Source organism: Homo sapiens, chromosome X (assembly GCF_000001405.40).
Source record: "Homo sapiens chromosome X, GRCh38.p14 Primary Assembly".
Lineage (NCBI taxonomy): Eukaryota > Metazoa > Chordata > Mammalia > Primates > Hominidae > Homo > Homo sapiens.
The window spans coordinates 101,563,779-101,581,530 of record NC_000023.11 but is presented as its reverse complement, the minus strand read 5'-3'; positions in this window follow the sequence as shown (position 1 = coordinate 101,581,530).

Sequence of the window (17,752 nt, the reverse complement as noted above, 5' to 3'; positions counted from 1 at the left end):
CAAAAAAGAGCCTGCATTACCAAGTCAATCCTAAGCCAAAAGAACAAAGCTGGAGGCATCACACTACCTGACTTCAAACTATACTACAAGGCTACAGTAACGAAAACAGCATGGTACTGGTACCAAAACAGAGATATAGATCAATGGAACAGAACAGAGCCCTGAGAAATAACGCTGCATATCTACAACTATCTGATCTTTGACAAACCTGAGAAAAACAAGCAATGAGGAAAGGATTCCCTATTTAATAAATGGTGCTGGGAAAACTGGCTAGCCATATGTAGAAAGTGAAACTGGATCCCTTCCTTACACCTTGTACAAAAATTAATTCAAGATGGATTAAAGACTTAAACGTTAGACCTAAAACCACAAAAACCCCAGAAGAAAACCTAGGCATTACCATTCAGGACATAGGCATGGGCAAGGACTTCATGTCTAAAACACCAAAAGCAATGGCAACAAAAGCCAAAATTGACAAATGGGATCTAATTAAACTAAAGAGCTTCTGCACAGCAAAAGAAACTACCATGAGAGTGAACAGGCAACCTACAAAATGGGAGAACATTTTCACAACGTACTCATCTGACAGAGGGCTAATATCCAGAATCTACAATGAACTCAAACAAATGTACAAGAAAAAAACAAACAACCCCATCAAAAAGTGGGCAAAGGACATGAACGGACACTTCACAAAAGAAGACATTTATGCAGCCAAAAAACACATGAAAAAATGCTCATCATCACTGGCCATCAGAGAAATGTAAATCAAAACCACAATGAGATACCATCTCACACCAGTTAGAATGGCAATCATTAAAAAGTCAGGAAACAACAGGTGCTGGAGAGGATGTGGAGAAATAGGAACACTTTTACACTGTTGGTGGGACTGTAAACTAGTTCAACCATTGTGGAAGTCAGTGTGGCGATTCCTCAGGGATCTAGAACTAGAAATACCATTTGACCCAGCCATTCCATTACTGGGTATATACCCAAAGGACTATAAATCATGCTGCCATAAAGACACATGCACACGTATGTTTATCACGGCACTATTCACAATAGCAAAGACTTGGAACCAACCCAAATGTCCAACAATGATAGACTAGATTAAGAAAATGTGGCACATATACACCATGGAATACTATGCAGCCACAAAAAATGATGAGTTCATGTCCTTTGTAGGGACATGGATGAAATTGGAAATCATCATTCTCAGTAAACTATCGCAAGAACAAAAAACCAAACACCGCATGTTCTCACTCATAGGTGGGAATTGAACAATGAGAACACATGGACACAGGAAGGGGAACATCACACTCTTGGAACTGTTGTGGGGTTAGGGGAGGGGGGAGGGATAGCTTTATGAGATATACCTGATGCTAAATGACGAGTTAATGGGTGCAGCACACCAGCATGGCACATGTATACATATGTAACTAACCTGCACATTGGGCACATGTTCCCTAAAACTTAAAGTATAATAATAATAAAATAAAATTTAAAAAAAATCAGCCATAAAACAAAATCCTCAGATTAACTTCCAAAGAGCAACAATTGGACTTCTCTTCTTTGAGAGATGACTACTCAAACAAGAGAAAATGGAATCCATACAATGGAAGGATATCTTTAAAGAGGTGAAAGAAAATTACTGCCAACTTAGATTTATATGCTCATAGGCAATATCAACAGTGAATATAAAATAAAGACATTCTAAGGTAAAAAACAAAAACAAAAAATTATCACTAGCAAACTCATGAGAGAAGAAATACTAAATGTTGTTCTTCAGGCAGAATAAAAATTTATCTTCCTAGAAAATAGGAAGAAAAGTGCAAAGGAAAGGTAAATATTTATGCAGATGTAAACAATTTTTTACTATATAAAACAATAATAAAGTTAGATGAAACAGACATTAAATCAACAGCAGTCAAAAAGGACCAAAAACGGCATTATATAATGATAAAGGGTTCAATTCAACAAGAAGACTTAACTATCCTAAATATATGCGCATCCAACACTGACACGCCCAGATTCATAAAACAAGTAATTCTAGACTAACAAAAAGACAGGCTGTCACTCAATAATGGGGGAGACTTCAATACTCCACTGGCAGTGTTAGGCAGATCAAGACAGAAAACTAACAATGAAATCCTGGACTGAAATTTGACACTTGACCAAGTATATTTGATAGACATTCACAGAATACTCCACCCAACAATCATCAGATATACATTCTTCTCATCTGCATACAGAACATACTCTAAGATGGACCACCTGCTCCACCATAAAGCAAGTGTTAACAAATTCAAAAAAAATAAAAATCATATCAACTGTGCTCTCAGAACACATTGAAATAAAAATAGAAATCAATACTAGAAGATCTCTCAAAACCACACAATTACATGGAAAGTAAACAACTTGCTCCTGAATGATTTTTGGGTAAACAAGAAAATTAAGGCAGAAATCTAAAGTTTATTTAAAATTAATAAAAACAGAGACAAAACATACCAAAATCTTGGGAATATAGCAAAAGCCATGTTAAGAGAAAAGTTTATAACACTAAATATCTACATCAAAAAGCCAGAAACAATATCAAATTAATATTCTAACATCCCTCCTAGAGGAACTAGAAGAACAAGAACAAATCAACCCCAGAGCTAGCAGAAGAAAAGAATAACTAAAATCCGAGCAGAACTGAATGAAATTGAGATCCAAAAATCCATACAAAATATCAATGAAATCAAAAGTTTTTTGAAAGGATAAACAAGATTGATAGACTCCTAGCTACATTAACAGAGAAAAAAGAGAAGAACTAAATAAGCACAATCAGAAATGACATTACAACCAATCCCACCAAAAAAAAAACAAAACATCCTCAGAGACTATTATGAAAACCTCTATGCACACGAACTAGAAAATCCAGAGGGAATGGATACACTACTGGAAACACAACCCATCAAGTTTGAACCAGGAAGAAATTGAAACCCTGAACATATCAATAATGAGTTCTGAAATTGAATCAGTCATTAAAAAAAAAAACTACTGCCAAAAAAGTCCTGGACCAGATGGATTCACAGCCATATTCTATCAGATGTACAAGGAGGAACTAGTACCAATCCTACTAAAACTATTCCTGAAAATTAAGGAGGAGGGACTCCTCCATAACTCATTCTACAAAGCCAGTATCATCCTGGTACCAAAGCTGGCAAAGACAGAATGAAAAAAGAAAATGACAGGCTAATATCCCTGATGAACATAGATGAAAAAATCCTCAGCAAAATACTAGCAAACTGAATCTAGCAACACATCAAAAAGAAAATTAACCAGGATCAAGTAGGCTCAATTCCTGGGGTATAAGGTTTGTTCAACATACACAAATCAATAAATGTGATTCACCACATAAAGAGAATTAAAAACAAAAACCATATGATCATCTCAATAGATGTGGGAAAAGCTTTTAGTAAAATCCAACATCATTTTATGATAGAAGCCCTCAACAAACTAGGCATCAAAGGAACATACCTCAAAATAATAAAGGCCATTTATGACAAACCCACAGCCAACATCACATTGAATGGGCAAAAGTTGAAAGCACTCACCTTGAGAACTCGAACAAGACAAGGATGTCCACTCTCACCATTCTTATTTAACATAGTACTAGAAGTTCTAGAAGAACAATCAGGCAAGGAAAAGAAATAGAAGACATCCAAATAGGAAAAAAAAGAAGTGAAACTCTTCACTAATGATATGATTCTATAGCTAGAACACTCTAAAGACTCTGCCAAAAAAACTCCTAGAACTGAAAAAATGACTTCAGTAAAGTTTCAGCATACAAAATCAATGTATGAAATACCATTTGACCCAGCCATCCCATTACTGGGTATATACCCAAAGGATTATAAATCATGCTGCTATAAAGATACATGCACACGTGTGTTTACTGTGGCACTATTCACAATAGCAAAGACTTGGAACCAAGCCAAATGTCCAACAATGATAGACTGGATTAAGAAAATGTGGCACATATACACCATGGAATACTATGCAGCCATAAAAAAGGATGAGTTCATGTCCTTTGTGGGGACATGGATGAAGCTGGAAACCATCATTCTCAGCAAACTATCGCAAGAACAAAAAACCAAACACCGTATGTTCTCACTCATAGGTGGGAATTGAACAATGAGAACACATGGACACAGGAAGGGGAATATCACAAACCAGGGCCTGTTGTGGGGAGGGGGGAGGGGGGAAGGATAGCATCAGGAGATATACCTAATGTTAAATGACGAGTTAATGGGTGCAGCACACCAACATGGCACATGTATACATATGTAACAAACCTGCACATTGTGCACATGTACCCTAAAACTTAAAGTATAATAAAAATAAAAATAAATACATAAATAAATAAAAGGACATGATAAGAAACTATATTTTTAAAAAAACACAAAAAAAATCAGTAACATTTCTATACAACAACATTCGAGCTAAGAATCAAAGCAAGAATGTGTTACAATTTTCAATAGCCACAAAAAATAAAATACCTAGGGATACATCTAATCAAGGAGATGGAAGATCTCTACAAGGAGAACCACAAAAGACTATCAAAGGAAATCAGAAATGACACAAACGAATGAGGAAACATTCCACACTCATGAATTGAAACAATCAATATCGTTAAAATGGTCATACTGCCTAAAACAATCTATAAATTCAATGGTATTCCTATGAAACTATGTCATTTTATCACAGAATTAAAAAAAAAACTATTCTAAATTTCATATAAAACCAGAAAAGAGCCCAAATAGCCAAAAGCAATTCTAAGCAAAAAGAATAAAGCCAGAGGTATCACATTACCTAACTTCAAACTATACTACGATGCTACAGTAAGCAAACAGCATGGTATTGGTACACAAATAGACACATAGACTAATGGGACAGAATAGAGAACCCAGAAACAAAGCTGCACACCTACAGCCATCTGATCTTTGACAAAGTCAACAAAAGTAAGCAATGGAGAAAGGACTCCCTTTTCAATAAATAATGTTGAGATAGCTAGCCATATGCAGAAGAATGAAATTTGATCACTACCTATCGCCATATAAAAAATTAACTCAAGATGAATTACAGACTTAAATCTAAGGCCTCCAACTATAAAAATCCTAGGAGAAAATCTAAGAAATGCCCTTCTTGACATCAACCTTGGCAAAGAATTCATGGCTAAATCCTCAAAAGCAATTACACCAAAAACAAAAATTGACAAGGAGGACCTAATTAAACTAAGGAGCTTCTGTACAGCGAGAAAAACTGTCAACAGAATAAACAGACAATCTTCAGATTGGGAGAAAATATTTGCAAACTATGCTTCTGACAAAGGTCTAATATCCAGAATCTATAAGGAATTTAAATCATTAAGCAAAAAAAGAAAATATTTAAGAAGTGGACAAAGGACATGAACAGACACTTCTCAAAAGAAGACATGCAAGTAGCCAGTAAACATGAAAAATGCTCATCATCACTAATCATCAAAGAAATGCAAATTAAAACTACAATGAGATACCATCTCACACCCACCAGTCAGAATGGCTATCATTAAAAAGTAAAAAAATAACAGATGTTGGCAGGGCTGTGGAGAAAAGAGAGTGCTTATATGCTGTTGATGGGATTGTAAATTAGTTCAGCCATTCTAGAAAGCAGTTTGGAGATTTCACAAAGAACTGAAGATAGAACTACCATTCAACCCAGCAATCCCAATCTTTTGGGTAAATACCCAAAAGAAAATAAATAATCCTACCAAAAAGACACATGCATTCATATGTTCATCACAGCACTATTCACAACAGCAAAGACATGGAATCAACCCAGGTGCCCATCAACAGTGAATTGGATAAATAAAATGTGGCATGTATACACCATAGAATACTACACAGCCATGAAAAAGAATGAAATAATATTCTTTGCAGTAACATGGTTGCAGCTAGAGGCCATTATCCTAAGCAAACTAACACAGAACCAGAAAACCAAATACCACATGTTTTTACTTATAAGTGGTAGCTAATCTTTGGATACACATAGACATAAAGATGGGAACAATAAACTCCACAAACTAAAAGAGGGGAGAAGTAGGGAGAGGGGAAGGGTTGAAAAACTATCTATTGGGTACTATACTCACTACTTGGGTGACAGGTTCAATCATATCCCAAACTTGAGCATCACACAATATACCATTATAACAAACCTGCACATGTACCCCAAAATCTAAATTAAAACTTGAAAAACAAGTTTTATATAGAATTTTTTGCTAACTATGCAGCCTAATAACATTTTCTTTTTTCTTTTTTCTTTTCTTTTTTTTTTTCTTTTTTGAGATAGAATCTCGTTCTGTCGCCCAGGCTGGAGTACAGTGGCACGATCCCGGCTCACTGCAAGCTCCGTCTCCCGGGTTCCAGCGATTCTCTGGCCTCAGCCTCCCGAGTAGCTGAGACTACAGGCATGCGCCACGATGCCGGGCTAATTTTTGTATTTTTTAGTAAAGACGGGGTTTCACCATATTGGCCAGGCTTGTCTCAAACTCCTGACCTCGTGATCCACCCACCTCGGCCTCCAAAGTGCTGGGATTACAGGCGTGAGCCACCGCGCCCAGCAACATTTTCTTTTTAGCTTCTGAATTTTGTGTTTTGCCTGTAAAGACTCCTCCCAATCCAAAGTTATTTTTTTAAATATGTTTTCTTCTTAAGCAGCAAAGCTAAAATAAATAAATAAGTAAATAAATAACAACAAAAAGGAAAATCTACTTTCTATAGAAAATAGGCCTGTAACAAAAAAAGAGATTGAATCAGTAATAATATTTTTAAAAAGACACCCTAATAAATGTCATCAGGATGGCAGAATAAGCTTTTTCTATCCAACTATCCAAATGTGAAAATACTTTCACAAGCAATAACGAAACCAAGTGAGAGATTATAGCACCTTGGTGAAGCACTGAAATAAAAAATGCGCTAAAGTGGGTAGGAAGGATAGTTTTCAATTATTCATGCCACCTGTTTCCTAACCCCCAGGTAGCACAGCATGGAGACAGATACTCTTCATTTGGGCCTCAACACGGGGCCTTCTCTAGTAAAACTCAGCACCAGGCAGTCACCCACAGCCCATCTCCAGGCTTGCCTGACAGATTTGGTCTTTAGGCTGCCCCACCACCAGGCCAAACACAGTAGCCCTAGACTTTAGACCAGCCCCAGCTCTAGTTCAGCCTCAGAAGCCCTGGGCTTTGGGGCTGGCCCAGCGCAAGGCCAGCCCCCACAGACTCAGTCTCCATTCCTTCCCTAGGGCCATGCCAGCCCGAATGGCCCTGTGTCCCAGGCTACCCCCAGCACTGGGCTGGCCCCCACAGTTCCAGGCTTCAGGCCCACCCCAGCCATCAGGCCAGCCCCTGCAGTCTTAGCCATCAAGCCAAACTTTCTGTGCTTCAGGATCCAGGGCAGCCCAGAACCAGATTGGCCCACATAGCCCAAGGCTTCAGGCCTGCCCCAAGACCAAGTCAGCACCCCTGGCCTCAGACAGTAGGCTGACACTGGGAGACACAGGCTCCAGACCTGCCAATGCCAGGCCCTGTGACTATACCCCAGTAGACCCTGGTGCCAGTTTGGTCCCATCAGACTAATAATCCAAGACCACTCCTGAAGACCAGCCCCAGTGGACCCAGGACTTAGGCTCATCTCTGCAGAAGCAGGCTCCAGAACTGCCAGAGCATGAGGTGAGCCTCTATGAACCCAAGCTTCAGGCTGCATGGATACAGGTTTCATGCCCACCACAAAGGACACAATCAACAGGTCCAAGCCAGTGGATCCAGGCTCCAGATCCAACCCCATGGGTTCACACAGGCCAGCCTGCCTAATGACTCCAGCAGCAAGTCTGCTTAGAATCTCTGAACAGGCAGACTAGTGAAGAGCTCTACCAGACAAAGCAAGTCTCCAAAGACTGGAATGACTCCCTGTTTCTTTAAATGCACAGACACCAACACATGGTCATAGGGATCAAGAACAATCTTGCCACCAAGAAAAAGCACTAGTAACTGAACCTAAAGAAATAGGAGTTTATGAACTGCCTAACAAAGAACTCAAAATAATTGTTTTAAGGAAGCTCAGTATTTCAAGAAATTACAAAGAAACAATTCAACAAATTCAGGAAAACACTAAACAACCAAAACAATAAATTTAACAAAGAGAATGAAATTATTTAAAAAAAAAAAACAGATTCTGGAGCTGGAAAAATACAATGAGTGAAATGAAAAATGCAATGGTGAGCATTAACACAGGAATTGATTAAGGAAAAGAATAAATCTGTGAACTTGAAGACAAGTTATTTGAAAATATACAGTCATAAGAGAAATAATCTCTTTAAATGATAAGAAATGAAGAAAGCTTACAGGATTTATGAAACAGCATTGAAAAGATCATTCATCATGACTGAGTGGGATTTATCCCAAGGTTGAAAAGATGATTTAACATATACCAATCAATCAATGTAATACACCACATTAACAAAATGAAGGACAGAAACCACATATCATCTCAATAGGTGCAGAAAAATCATTTGACAAAATTTTGCATTCTTCCATGATAAAAGCTCTCAACAAATTAGGTATAGAAGGAATTACTTCAACATAACAAAGCTCACATATGACAAGCCCACAGCTAACATACTCAAGGATAAAAGTTGAAAGTTTGTCCTCTAAGATCGTGAACAACTCAAGCATGCCCACCCCAATATCTTTTTGACATAGTACTGGAAATCCTAGCCAGAGCAATTAGGCTACAGAAAGAAAGTTGATGTAGTCTGGAGGCAGAACTCACTCTTCCTTGGAGGACCTCTGTTTATTTTCTCTTAAGGCCTTCAATTGATTGAATGAAGTCCAGCCACATTATGGAGAATCTCCTTTACTCAATGTCTACTGATTTAAATTATAAGCTCATCTAAAATTTAACTTCACAGCCAGGCACAGTGGCTCACGCCTGTAATCCTAGCACTTTGGGAGGCCGACGCAGGTGGATCACTTGAGGTCAGGAGTTCGAGACCAGCCTGGCCAACATGGCAAAACCTCGTTTCTACCAAAAATACAAAAATTAGCCAGGCGTGGTGGCACACACTTGTAGTCCCACCTACTCTGGAGGCTGAGGTAGGAGAATCATTTGAATCTGGGAGGCAGAGTTGCAGCGAGCCAAGATCACACCACTGCACTGCAGCCTGGTTGAGAATGAGACTCCGTCTCAAAAAAAAATTAAAATAAAAAAATACAATACAATACAACTTCACAGCAATATCCAGACAGGTATTTGACCAACTATATGGGTACCACGGACTAGCCAGATTGACACATTAAAGGAACCATCACACCACCTACCTTGTTTTATGATCCCAGCATAGATATGATAATATTGAGAGCTTTCCAGTTAAGATCAGTAATAAGGAAAGAATGGCCACTGTCGTCACTTTTATTCATCACCATAAGGCATTTATTATGGTGATGTTAAACTGTGCAATAAGAGAAGAAAAAGAAATGCAAGATATATGAATTGGGAAGGGAAGAAAATAAAATTGCAGGCCAATCTCTCTTATGACTATAGATACAAAAATTTCAAACAAAATAAGAGCAAATAAAATCTATGATATACATCATAGATAATATATGATGATCAAGCTGAGTTTTTGTATAAAGGCAAGATTGGATTAACACTTGAAAATCAATCAATGTAATTTGCTACATTAGCATAATAGAGGAAAAAACAATATAATCATCTCAACAAATGCAGAAAAGGTATGTGATAAAACTCAATCTCCATTATGATTTAAAATTCTTAGCAAACCAGGAATAAAAGAGAGCTTCCTTAATATGATAAGCAATATAAAAACACTTATCATAGTTAATGTTGAAATATTGGGAACTTTCCAGTTAAGATCAGTAATAAGGAAAGAATGGCCACTGTCATCACTTTTATTCATCACCGTACTGGAGATGTTAAACTGTGCAATAAGAGAAGAAAAAGAAATGAAAGGTATATGAATTGGAAAGGGAAGAAAATCATAATTCATGCACAAAATGATTGCATATATAGAAAATCCAAAATAATCTATAAACTATTAAAATTAACAAATTACTTAAATGAGGACATTTAACGCAATGTCAATATATATTTTCAAAATTTAGTTTTTAATTTTTATTTATTATGATTATTTGTTTTGTAGAGACAAAGTCTTGTTATGTTGCCCAGGCTGGTCTCGAACTCCTGGGCTCAAGCAATCCTCTAGCCTCAGCTTTCTAAACTGCTGGGAGGATGAGGCACTGGTGTGAGCCACTCTGCCCAGCCTGTTGTTTATTTATTTATTATATATTTATTATATATTTATTATATATATATGAGTGTGTGTATATATGTGTGTGTGTGTGTATATACATATATATATGTATATGTATATATATTAAGTTCTGGGGTACATGTGCAGACCATGTAGTTTTGTTACATTGGTATACATATGCCATAGTGCTTTGCTGCACCCATCATTAGGTATTTCTCCTAATGCTATCCCTCCCCTAGCTCCCCAACCCCAACAGGCCCTGGTGTGTGATGTTCCCCTCCCTGGGTCCATGTGTTCTAATTGTTCAACTCCCACTTATGAGTGAGAACATGCGGTGTTTGGTTTTTGTTTCTTGTGTTAGTTTACTGAGAATGATGGTTCCTAGCTTCATTTTAGCACGAAGCGGTGTTGAATTTTGTCAAAGGCCTTTTCTGCATCTATTGAGATAATCATGTGGTTTTTGTCATTGGTTCTGTTTATGTGATGGATTACGTTTATTGAATTGCATATGTTGAACCAGGCTTGCATCCCAGGGATGAAGCCAACTTGATCGTGGTGGATAAGCTTTTTGATGTGCTGCTGGATTTGGTTTGCCAGTATTTTATTGAGGATTTTTGCATCAATGTTGATCAGGGATATTGGCCTGAAATTTTCTTTTTCTGTTTTGTCTCTGCCGGGTTTTGGTATCGGCATTATGCTGGCCTCATAAAATGAGTTAGGGAGGATTCCCTATTTTTCTATTGTTTGAAATAGTTTCAGAAGGAATGGTACCAGCTCCTCTTTGTACCTCTGGTAGAATTCGGGTGTAAATCCCTCTGGTCCTGGACTTTTTTTGGTTGGTAGACTATTAATTATCACCTCAACTTCAGAACGTTATCGGTCTATTCAGGGAATTGACATCTTCCTGGTTTAGTCTTGGGAGGGTGTATGTGTCCAGGAATGTATCCAATTCTTCTAGATTTTCTAGTTTATTTGCATAGAGGTGTTTATAGTATTCTTTGATGGTAGTTTGTATTTCTGTGGGATCAGTGGTGATATCCCCTATATCGTTTTTTATTTTGTCTATTTGATTCTTCTCTCTTTTTTCTTTATTAGTCTTGCTAGTGGTCTATTTTGTTGATCTTTTCAAAAATCCAGCTCCTGGATTCATTGATTTTTTGAAGGGTTTTTTGTGTCTCTATCTCCTTCGGTTCTGTTCTGATCTTAGTTATTTCTTGTCTTCTGCTAGCTTTTGAATTTGTTTGCTGTTGCTTCTCTAGTTCTTTTAATTTTGATGTTAGGGTGTCAGTTTTAGATCTTTCCTGCTTTCTCTTTTGGGCATTTAGTGCTATAAATTTCCCTCTACACACTGCTTTAAATGTGTCCCAGAGATTGTGGTACGTTGTGTCTTTGTTCTCATTGGTTTCAAAGAACATCTTTATTTCTGCCTTCATGTCGTTATTTACCCAGCAGTCATTCAGGAGCAGGTTGTTCAGTTTCTGTGTAGTCGTGCAGTTTTTAGTGAGTTTCTTAATCCTGAGTTCTAATTTGCTTGCACTGTGGTCTGGGAGACTGTTTGTTTTGATTTCCGTTCTTTTGCATTTGCTGAGGAGTGTTTTACTTCCAATTATGTTGTCAATTTTAGAATAAGTGTGATGACGTGCTGGGAAGAATGTATAGTCTGTTGATTTGGGGTGGAGAGTTCTGTAGATGTCTATTAGGTCTGCTTTGTCCAGAGCTGAGTTCAAGTCCTGAATATCCTAGTTAATTTTCTGTCTTGTTGATCTGTCTAATATTGAGAGTGGGGTGTTAAAGTCTCCCACTATTATTGTGTGGGAGTCTAAGTCTCTTTGTAGGTCTCTAAGAACTTGCTTTATGAATCTGGGTGCTCCTGTATTGGGTGCATATATATTTTAGATAGTTAGCTCTTCTTGTTGAATTGATCCTTTTACCATCATGTAATGCCCTTTTTGTCTCTTTTGATCTTTGTTTGTTTAAAGTCTGTTTTATCAGAGATTAGGATTGCAAGTCCTGCTTTTTTTCTTTCCATTTGCTTGGTAAATATTCCTCCATCCCTTTATTTTGAGCCTATGTGTGTCTTTGCACATGAGATAGGTCTGCTGAATACAGCACACTGCTGGGTCTTGACTCTATCCAATTTGCCAGTCTGTGCCTTTTAATTGAGGCATTTAGCCCTTTTACATTTAAGTTTAATATTGTTATGTGTGAATTTGATCCTGTCGTTATGATGCTAGCTGGTTATTTTGCCCATTAGTTGATGCAATTTCTTCATAATATAAATGGTCTTTACAATTTGGTATGTTTTTGCAGTGGCTGGTACCAGTTGTTCCTTTCCACGTTTAGTGCTTCCTTCAGGAGCTTGGTAAGGCAGGCTTGGTGGTGAGAAAATCTCTCAGCATTTGCTTGTCTGTAAAGTATTTTATTTCTCCTTTCCTTATGAAGCTTAGTTTGGCTGGATATCAAATTCTGGGTTGAAAATTATTTCCTTTAAGAATGTTGAATATTGGCCCCCACTCTCTTCTGGCTTGTAGGTTTTCTGCAGAGAGATCTGCTGTTAGTCTGATGGGCTCCCCTTTGTAGGTAACCTGGCCTTTCTCTCTGGCTGCCGTTAACCTTTTTTCCTTCATTTCAACCTTGGTGAATCTGACAATTGTGTGTCTTGGGGTTGCTCTTCTCAAGGAGTATCTTTGTGGTGTTCTCTGTATTTCCTGAATTTGAATGTTGGCCTGTCACTAGGTTGGGGAAGTTCCCCCAGATAATATCCTGAAGAGTGTTTTCCAACTTGGTTCCATTTTCCCCATCACTTTCAGGTACACCACCAATCAAACGTAGATTTTATCTTTTCACATAGTCCCATATTTCTTGGAGGCTTTGTTCGTTCCTTTTTATTCTCTTTTCTCTAATCTTGTCTTCTCACTTTATTTCATTAAGTTGATCTTCAATTTCTGATATCCTTTCCGCTTGATTGATTCAGATATTGGTACTGGTGTATACTTCACGAAGTTCCCATGCTGTGTTTTTCAGCTCCATCAGGTCATTTATGTTCTTCTCTAAACTGTTTATTCTAGTTAGCAATTCATCTAACCTTTTTTCAAGGTTCTTAGCTTCCTTGCATTGGGTTAGAACATGCTCCTTTAGCTCGGAGGAGTTTGTTATTACCCACATTTTGAAGCCTACTTCTGTCAATTCATCAAACTCATTCTCCATCCAGTTTTGTTCCCTTGCTGGCGAGGAGTTGTGATCCTTTGGAGGAAAAGAAGCATTCTTGTTTTTGGAATTTTCAGCCTTTTTGCGCTGGTTTCTCCCCATTTTTGTGGATTTATCTACCTTTGGTCTTTGATGTTTGTGACCTATGGATGGGGTCCCTGAGTGGGTGTGCTATTCCTTTCTGTTAGTTTTCCTTCTAACAATCAGGTCCCTCTGCTGCAGGTCTGCTGAAGTTTGCTGGAGGTCCACTCCAGATCCTGTTTGCCTGGGTATCACCAGCGGAAGCTGCAGAACAGCAAATATTGCTGCCTGTTCTTTCCTCTGGAAGCTTTGTCCCAGAGGGGCACCTACCAGATATCAGCCAGAGCTCTCCTGTATGAGGTCTGTCGGCCCCTACTGGGAGGTGTCTCCCAGTCAGGATACACGGGGATCAGGGACCCACTTGAGGAAGCAGTCTGACCCTTAGCAGAGCTCGAACGCTGTGCTGGGAGGTCCACTGCTCTCTTTAGAGCTGTCAGGCAGGGACGTTTAAGTCTGCTGAAGCTGCGCCTAACAGCTGCCCCTTCCCCCAGGTGCTCTGTCCCAGGGAGATGGGTTTTTATCTGTAAGTCCCTGACTGGGGCTGCTGCCTTTTATTTCGGAGATGCCCTGCCCAAAGAGGAGAAATCTGTCAGTCTGGCCACAGCAGCCTTGCTGAGCTGCAGTGAGCTCCGCCAAGTTTGAACTTCCTGGCGGCTTTGTATACACTGTGAGGGTAAAATCGCCTACTCAAGCCTCAGCAATGGCGGACTCCCCTCCCCCTACCGAGCTCAAGCACCCCAGGTCGATCCCAGACTGCTGCTGTGCTGGCAGCAAGAATTTCAAGCCAGTGGATCTTAGTTTGCTGGGCTCTATGGGGGTGGGACCCAACGAGCCATACCATTTGGCTCCCTGGCTTCAGCCCCCTTTCCAGGGGAGTGAACGGTTCTGACTTGCTGGTGTTCCAGGTGCCACTGGGGTATGGAAAAAAAAAAAACTCCTGCAGCTAGTTTGATGTCTGCCCAAACGGCTGCCCAGTTTTGTGCTTGAAACCCAGGGCCCTGGTGGGGTAGGCACTGGAGGAAATCTCCTGGTCTGTGGGTTGCGAAGACCATGAAAAAGGCACAGTATCTGGGCCGGAGTGCACGGTTCCTCAGTCACAGTCCCTCACAGCTTCCCTTGGGTAAGGGAGAAAATTCCCTGACCCCTTGTGCTTCCCACGTGAGGCAATGCCCCACCCTGCTTCAGCTCGCCTTCCATGGGCTGCACCCACTGTCCAACCAGTCCCAGTGAGATGAACCGGGTACCTCAGTTGGAAATACAGAAATCACCCACCTTCTGCATCGATCTTGCTGGGAGCTGCAGACCAGAACTGTTCCTATTCTGCCATCTTGCCAGCAATCCCTTGTGTCAATCTATTTTTTAAAATCAGTTGTAGTCCTATATACCAGTAGCAAACAATAGGAAAATGAACTTTTAAAATCCAGGCCATTTAGAATAGCATTGAGAAGCCACAAAATCTTAAGAATTATCCTAACAAAGTATATGCAAGTCTGAATCTGAAAACTACAATACATTATTGAAAGAAATTAAAGAACAAAAAAAGAGTAGTAAACTATATTAATGGAATGAGAAACTCAATATTATAAATGTGAAATATGTTAATTCTCACCAAATTGGTCTGTAGATTCAGTGCAGTTCCAAACAAAATCCCAAGAGTGTGTGTGTGTGTGTGTGTGTGTGTGTGTGTGTGTGTGTATGTCTGTGTAATTTGGCAAGCTTATTTTTTAAATCTATATATAAATGTAGAAATACCAAGAATAACCAAAATAATGTTGGAAAATAACAATAAAGAGGATTTATATTAGCAAATATCAAGTTTTACAATAAAGCTACAGTAATTATGACAAGGTACAAGAACACCAGTGCACGGATTAAAAAAAAGACCAATTGAAAGAATAGAAAGTCCCGAGATAGATTCATACATATATAGCAACATAACTTATTACAAAGGTGACACTGTAGTGTAGTGGAGGAAAGAACGGTCTTCTTGAGAAATGGTGCTGGGTCAATTGGATATCCATATGTGGGGAAATTGAATCTTGACCCTTACCTCACATCACATACAAAAATAAATTCTAGGTGAATTATAAATCTAAATGTGAAAGGCAAAATTATAAAGCTTCTAGAAGATAACGTAGATAATCTTCATGACGTTATAGTAGGAGAAAGTTTCTTTAAAAGAATAAAATAAAATGAAGGAAAATATTGATAAATTTCTCTTTATCAAAAGACACCATTACATAGTGAAAAATGAAGCCATACAACCTTAATATCAAAACTTCATGATGAGAAAGATACTTGATGATGGTACATTAATCCCACCAATGAATGTACATGAAAAATTTTAAATATAATAACAAATATAATCCAGAAGTATGGCAAAAAATTACAAATTAATCAATTGCTACAATGAGAATTAAATCATCTAATTCCAATGTCCTTCTTACACTTGTTTAATTTTTTTTTTTTTTTTTTGAGATGAGGTCTCACTCTGTTGCCCAGGCTGAAGTGCAGTGGTGCCATCACAGCAGCCCTGACCTCCCAAGTCTCAGGTGATCCTCCCACCTCAGTTTTTGTGGGGCTTTTTGGGTAGAGATGAGGTTTCATCATGTTCCCCAGGCTGGTCTCCAACTCCTGGGCTCAAGCAATTTACCTGCCTCAGACTCCCAAAGTACTGGGATTACAGGTGTGAGCCACTGTACCCAGCCTCACTTATTTCATTTTATCCCTTGTGTTATTTTCTCTATTTGTACTCAATACCTTTTTTAAAGTTATATTTATATCTTACCCACTTTGTCAGGTGGAATGTCACTTTCTCTTGCAAGTGCCTGCAAAGATGTCTTGATTAGTATTACTCATGTCTCTAAGATCTAATAGCATGTTTTGTGTTTCTGGGAAGTCTCATCCTTTGGCTGCAAGGCACAGATAATATGTAACTTGAAGAACAAGATTAGCCAGCAGACTGAAAAATGCTCAGACACACTGATTAGCTCATTCATTGTCATGTATCCAGAGACAGAAGATATTATGAGTACTTTAATTGCTGACTCAGAATTTTTTTGGTCCAGACCACCTTTTACAAATTGTAAAACTGAAGAATTTTAATAGCCCAAAGTATATTGTAGCCTACTCAATGGTGTTTTAGGGTCTTTCATAATGGACTTGTGACACAATTAGTGTCAAAACCTTTCCTAACTTATGTGCCATCCTAGACTCACTTGGCCCCAATTCCCTATCCTGAACCCTGATCAACTTCCTTACTTCCTGACCAGAGGAAGCAGCAATGATTCATGCTGTTTCTACATTCTTAGAGCCTAGGCCACTGCCACTGCCACTGGTGTTCCAGCCACAGCTTGAAGTCACCTAACATAGTGTCACCTAACAAGGAGAGAATATTACAGCTGCAAACTAGACAGACTAGATGCATAGAAATACAGGGGAATTAATGTCCCATGGAGCTAACTTTGATCAATGGAAATCTGGCTACTCAAAAGAGCTGACAGAAAAAATCTTTTTTATTTCTCCCACTTAGATAAACTGTTCTTAAATGCAGTAATTTTATATGTACTTACTGAAGACATCACATGAGGTAAAATAATCAGCTGTGTCTTTGTTGACAAGTTATGTCCAGATGAGTAACTCACCCCCTCATATTTGCTTTCTATCTTTCCTTGCCTCACTTCCCTTTTCCCCTCACTTGTATTGCACATCCCAGCAGTGTCACCAGGTAAACTTTTGCCCCAGGCTCTGTTTTCTAGTCCTGAGCTAAGAAACCACCCAGACCATTAATTCTATTTTTAATAAAACAAGTTCTGCAGTATAGGACTTCACCAATAGTAGCTAGTAACTCAGTGCACCATGCCTCCAAAGTAGCAACCATAAAAATAAAGATCCTATTTATAGAAAAGAATAATACTTTGTAAATAACCAAAGACTAATAGAATATAATATGTCTTCCAAGAAGTATGCTATCTATCTGGGAAAAGATAAGTGTTGAGAATAGATGTCTATTTGTAATATACATGATTGTGTATAATAGAAGAAAAATTTAAACAAAATGTTAAAATGTGTATATAAAATGCTTGAAGGGAATATCAGTCTATTTTATAACCTA